The following is a 6,506-nucleotide window of genomic DNA, read 5'->3' on the forward strand; positions in this document are numbered from 1 at the left end:
ATCATATTACTGGCCTCTCCAAGTTGTTGTGAGGATTAAATGCAACAGAGCCTGGAGAGCCTTCAGCAAGTCTTTGATGAGCTATGAGTGCACATTACACATTTGCTGTCACCATTCCTATTAGCAGAGCCAGGCAGTTGGAGGGCCCTGGGCCAGGCACACTGCCCAGCCCTGTGTCTACCTGCAGTGAGATTGTGAACCAGCTGTTTCACTCCTGAGGCCTCTAGTCCTTATCTGTATAAAATGTTTTTGGAAAAAAATTCTCCCTCAGTCCTCTTCAGGCCACATATTTGATGGTTCGGTGAGGGGCATGGGTCATCCTAACTATGGCTCATGGCTCTCCTGCGTTAGGCTCACCTGGGCTTTCCCTCCCCAGAGAACCTGGCAAACAAGGCTGACAAGGACCAGTATGAGCTGCTTTGCCTGAACAACACCCAGAAGCTGGTAGTTGGATACAAGGACTGCCATTTGGCCTGGGTCCTTTCTCATACTGTCATGGCCTGAAGTGTGGGTGGCAAGGAGGACTTGATCTAGAAGCTTCTCAACCAGGTCCAGGTATCCCCACCTGCCATCTTCCCCTCTGGCTTAGTGCTCCCTGCTTGGATTTGGAGGGAGGTTAACTTCCTTGCCTTCTTGTCATTCTGGAAGTCCTGGTATGTTCAGGGTACAGTGGGAGCCATGCCACATGTGATCCTCTTCACTGACAAGCCGCTCAGTCTATATGTGTTATATACAGCAGAGGAATAAAACCTCATCTGGAACCACGAACCTGGTGGACTGAAGACTCTCTGCAGAAGTTCTTCTTGTCCCATTTAATTATTTTTCATTCTAAACAGGTCCTCAGGATGAGTTCACATGACCCTCTTCCTCCACAAAGTCCTCCCCTGTCATCCCATGGCATGTGATCCTGCCCTCCTGACAACTCTGCCAACGCTCTCTCCTTAGCACTGGGGGACTCAGAGATGAACTTGGCAAAGACTTGTCTTGAGTCATTCACAGATGAGTGTGGGAGGCACACGAGTATGGATTCTTACCTGATGGAATTGGACTACCTCATGGACATGGATGGCGTCCTTTATGGAGGACAAAGGGACTGATTTGCAGGATGTATCTGGGAAAGTTCCTGGGCCCTGGGGAGTAACTGTGTGCATCCTAAGGAGGTGGGGGGTGGGGGTTGTCAGGGAGGGCAGCAGGTGGCATTTCATGTAGAGTCACTGCAAAAGCAAACACCAGCCAGCCATTTGAAAGAGCACGTCGGTAGGTGCTGCTGTGAGCTATGTCAGGAGTGGCTTTGGGCCAGTCAACCGGAGTCATAGGCAAAGAGCCCTTTGGTTTTTGGAGGCCAGAAAGGGGAAGGAACCGTTTGGTGTCCCACAGCTGGTCCTTCAGTGGCAGGCTTGGCGTGGGGAGAAGAGGAGCTCAGGAAGTCTGATTGCAGCCCATGGTGCTGGATCACCAGCCTCTTTAGGATGGAGACCGCCACGGGTGCTTAGGGTGATCAGATGGCTTGAGGGTGAGGCAGCCTTTGCTGAACTGCCCCATGGGAACACAGAGCCTCAGCCCACAGTGGAAAGGGATGGATCTGGGGGGTGGCCCCTGGCAATTTCCCCGAGGCCACACCAGGCAGACAAGCTGGGATCTGAGGAGAGCTTTCCCTCACCATGAGCCAGGGATGCTGGGGAGCTTGGCCACCATCTTCACCCTCAGACACTCATATCTTGCTTTCTGTTTCCCTTGTCTGTTTTGGGGTTTGTTTTACCTTTACCTCTATGCCGTCCTTCTTCCTTCACCATCTCTTTTGTCCTTTGAACAGGAACATTTTGGAAAAGACAAGTCGTCAGAATTTCAGCTCTTTGGCTCTCCTCATGAGACAGATCTGCTGTTTACTGATGCTGCCCATGGGTTTTTAATGGTCCCACCTAAGATAGATGCCAAGCTGTACCTGGGATATGAGTATTTTTCCGCGACTCAGGATCCAAAAAGAGGTATGTAAGGTCCCGGGAGGGACCTGGCCAGCTTGGGCAGCAGGGTGGGGTGGGGCCATCATGGGAGGCTTTCCAGGTGCCTGCAAGCTTCACCCAAAGTTTATTGGCCTGCAGAGCCCAAGGGAGCTACTAACTGCATTGGGTTAATGAGGGGGTTTTCTGTGATTAGAAAGTGGCTTTAATGGCCTTCATATTCTAGAAAACTTGAAGACATGATTGCCCTGGCTCCTTTTTATTAGGTGGGGTCATCCCACCCAGGGTGAGTCTATTCGACATGGAGTATAAAAATAGTCCATCTTAAACTGAAGTGGGAATGTGGCCACTACCACCATCCAGAGGTTTCTGGTCTGGCCATCTACTGGATCTCTATGGTTTATTTCTTCCTTCTTTCCTTCTTCTAGCTTTGCCCTCCATTTAGTCAACCAGTAGGTATTTGCATCTACAGAAGGGCAGCCACTGTGTTAGACGTGGGCATATGGTGGTGAGCAAAGACACTGGGTGAGGGGAGAGCAAGCAGGCCCACCCAGAACAGAACTCGTGACTGCCAAGTGGGACATGCTTCCTGGATGGGGAGCCCAGTCTTGCAAGAGAAAACCCCAGAAGACCCTGAGCTGGGCTGGTGCTCAGAGAGGCCTCCCTGGGGAGGTGATGCCTGAGGAGCTGAGGTCAGGAGCAGGGGGAAGCTCTGTCTTCACTGATTGATTTTTCTGAGAAGTGAGTTCCCCATTTCTCCTGGAGGGTGACAGGCAGGAATTAGCAGTGTCATGGGAATGAGACATGTCAGCTCTGCTGCTGCCAGTGAAGGCCTTGTTGGACAGCCACTCTGCAGCGCTAAGCTCCCAGACCTACCTGGGGCTTCCTTTGGATCCCTCCACCCGGCCTAGATGTGGAAGACTCCCCAGGGTGCGGTGGTGCGCAGTGGGCCACCATGAGAGGGCCAAGTGTGATGAGTGGAGTGCTGTGACTGGTGGTGCCTTGGCGTGCACCATGGAGGAGACCCCAGAGGACTGCATCACTGCCATCACAGTTGGAGGGCCCTGCTTTTAAGGCTGGGCTCAGACACTCAGACACACAGCACTTCTGCCAAATCTGGCATTGAAGCTCTCCTTCCCAAATGCCTCTTCCTCAGCCTCCAGGATAAGGACACCTGTTGTGTGCTGCCTCCCACCCACCCCACAGGCCCCTCCAGCTCTGGGCAGGGCAGAAACACAGAGCCAATCCAAGAGCTGGACTCCTGGGGGGCTCAGCTCTGGAGTCCAGTTAGCTCAGGGGAGTGTCTTGCCTAGGAGTCCCAGGAAGTAGGGTGACATTCCGGGCTATGGTCAGGGCTACTGTGAATTGTGAAAGCAGATCAACCTTTTCAATCCTTTAATTGTAAGTTTATTTTTTCTGGTTATAAAATATTACAATAAATAAATAAAAATAGGGCTGCAGTGAGCCATGGTCACACCATTGCACTCTAGCCTGGGTGACAGAGCAAGACCCTGTCTCTAAAAAAATCAGAAAGTAAAAATAAAATCATTCACAACTTCATCACTCAGAGATTATGTGATGATGATCTCTGAGTGACGAAGTTGTGAATGATTTTATTTATTTTATTTATTATGATCTCTGAGCGATGAAATTGTGTTGTTATTAACTTTATGAGCAGAACTATTTTTGTGATTAGGAAAAAATAAACTTATAAATAAAGAATGAAAATTTGACAAACTTAGAAGGCTATGCAACCATTTCATTTTGTTTTGTTTAACTTGAGAAGACCCTCATCTTGGTAAACCTTCCTAGCACCAATTCCTAAGATTAAGATCTTGATGGTTATGTAGTCTACTAAATGTGTCAATTGTAAGGATTAAGTAAATCTCAGTACATATAACATTGCCTGGCATATAGTTAGCAGTAACTAAGTGTTAGCTGTTATTATTATTCAAAATCCCAGGGACAGTTGGTATATTTTCTTAAATAATGAAACACTCATTTAAATAATGGCTATGTAATATTCCACCAAGTATGTTAGCCTCCATTTAACCAGTTTCTCAGTGTTTATATTTGAGTTATTTCCAAATCCTTTGCTATTATAGACAATGTGGGATTGAAAAATCTTTGTATCTATAAATGCCTATATTTCTGAGTATATCTTTAATATTAATGGTAACTAATTTTTCTGGAGTTACTGTGTGACAAGCATGTTTATGAGCTCTTAAACTGTATTACTCATTTAGTCTTCATGATAAACCTATAGGGTATAATTTTTACCCAACTTATGGATGAAAACATGTAAATAGCATAGTATTGAGGGAAACGTGCTTTAGGGTAGACAGATCTTGGAGGCCATCTGGAATAGTGGTTACAAGGAATTAAATTGCCTAGGTTTAAGTCTTAGCCGCTGTTGATTGGACAAATTTAACCTTTCTGCTTTCATTTATAAAAGAGGGGAAATTCTAGTATCTAGCTTATTGAAGTTTGTGAGGAATATATGAGGTAATCACTGTGAAGTGTTTAGAAAGGAGCCTGGCACATAATAAGGCTTGGTAAGTTTTTGCTGCTGTAGTCACTGTTTTTAGATTTCTAGAAGGGTAGTGAAAAGGTCAAAAACAAAGAGCATGTATATGCATGTTTTTATCTTGGTGACCTTATCTATAAGTATACATTTTTTACTCTATTAGAAAAATTAATTGATTAAAATAATAAGTGAATTATTAGTGTATTATCTAGAGAAATGAATTATTTATTGAAAATCTTTGTTGTGCCAGGCACTGAGTACAGTGCTAGTGGGATTATGGGAACAGATTTGAACTCCATTATCTGGAAGAAACATATCCCATAGAAACAGGTTAAATGCATTTCCTGAGTCTGGCCATGTTAATTGCTGGGTTGAGTGACTATAGCCACAAAGAAGGGGTGGTGAGGTCATATCCAGGACGCAGCATGGGTCTCATCAGAGGACACAGAGATGTCCAGGGGGCATGACCTGGGTTGGAACTTGTTCCCAGGTCAACAGGCCAAGAGCATGTCCAGTTTTCTAAACCCTGTGTTTACATGGCAGAAGCTTTGAGTGATCCACAATTGGTTAATCACAAGGATGTTTACATGAAGCCAGTGAAATGAGAACCTCTGAGGGTCAGAGGCCCAGGAGACAGCTATTGTGCTATTGATTTGTTTCTTAACTTCAGAAAGGGGAAGCTGATGCCATGAGCTTGGATGCAGGATTCATCTACATAGCAGGGAAATGTGGTCTGGTGCCTGTCCTGGCAGAGAACTACAGTAAGTGGAGGGGAGTGTCCGTCTCCATTTTTTCTGTCCACAGTTCCCCTGGGCTGTGGGCATAGAAAGATGAGGAAATAACTTAGTTTAGTGTTGAGATAATAACTATTGTTGGAATGTATGGAGCTAGTAGAAAAAAAAAGTCTCCCTCTCCTGGAGCCAGAAACAATTAAGATATAGACAAAGGAATCAGGCAGAAAGAGATCAAAATAACACCTTTACTTCTGAGATTGTGATACTGGAGTGTGTGATGTAGAGCTGGCACGGGGCTGCAAGTCACCCTTACCTTAAAGTTGCCCACTAGTTCAGGAAAATGGGTCTGATGGCTTATGCCAAGACTAAGGGCAAAGGGAAACACATTTTATCATAGGTGAGAAGACCCAAACAACTCTCTCCCCATTGTCTTCAAGAAAGAAAGAGGGGCTGAGCCACATGTGCTCATGATCCTTCACCCAGATGCACTGGGTGGTTGAGAAGGTGGGGCTGCAAGGTCATGTTCTTTAGTGGGGATCCATCCACATGGAAAAATGAAGCTGGTGTAAAAGAGGGTTTCCCTAATATCATTGATTACACCTCATCTGCTACATTATCTTTCAAAACAAAACGACTCTGTGAGGTAAATAGTGGTATCTCCATTTTATAGCTGTAAAAACTGAGGCTTAGAAAAGATAAGTGATGGGTCGGGCGTGGTGGCTCACACCTGTAATCCCAGCACTTTGGGACACTGAGGTGGGTGGATCACGTGAGGTCAGGAGTTCGAGACCAGCCTGGCCAACATGGCGAAACCCTGTCTCTACTAAAAATACAAAAATTAGCAGGGCATGGCAGCAGGTGCCTGTAATCCCAGCTACAGGGAGGCTGAGGCAGGAGAATCGCTTGAACCTGGGAGGCAGAGGTTGCAGTGAGCTGAGATCGTGCCATTGCACTCCAGCCTGGGCAACAACAGCAAAACTCCATCTCAAAAAAAAAAAAAAAGGATAAATGATGTTTCCATTGTAGAATAAAGACTGAATCCAGATCTTTCTGACTCCCTGGACTGGGTTCTTTCCCTCCCGTATAGCAAAAATAATGATTGCCTACCACAGTCTAAGACTCTGAAGGGAAGAAAGATATCAGGATGACTTATTACACAGCTAATGCAAAGGGATATGACCTCTCCCTCTCTTTCCCTTCAATGAGCACCTCCACTTTCTTTGCCTGCATCTGCTAGAGTACTGGGGAGATTTTGGGATGGAACCTATCTTCAAATAGGAAAGAGCA

At 46.1% G+C, this 6,506-nt stretch overlaps 1 protein-coding gene and 1 pseudogene across 1 annotated transcript in view; both read left to right on the top strand.

Annotated features, from left to right (window-relative positions):
- Positions 1 to 6,506, top strand: part of TF (transferrin) — a 134,644-nt gene that overhangs the window by 37,071 nt on the left and 91,067 nt on the right. The window contains exon 3 of the mRNA NM_001354703.2: positions 1,814 to 1,985. The gene's annotated coding sequence lies outside the window, so the exon portion shown is untranslated. The remainder of the gene's footprint in view (positions 1 to 1,813; positions 1,986 to 6,506) is intronic.
- INHCAP (inhibitor of carbonic anhydrase pseudogene) overlaps positions 1,810 to 6,506 on the top strand; it is an 8,805-nt pseudogene continuing 4,108 nt past the window's right edge.

This window comes from Homo sapiens, chromosome 3 (genome assembly GCF_000001405.40).
Source record: "Homo sapiens chromosome 3, GRCh38.p14 Primary Assembly".
Lineage (NCBI taxonomy): Eukaryota > Metazoa > Chordata > Mammalia > Primates > Hominidae > Homo > Homo sapiens.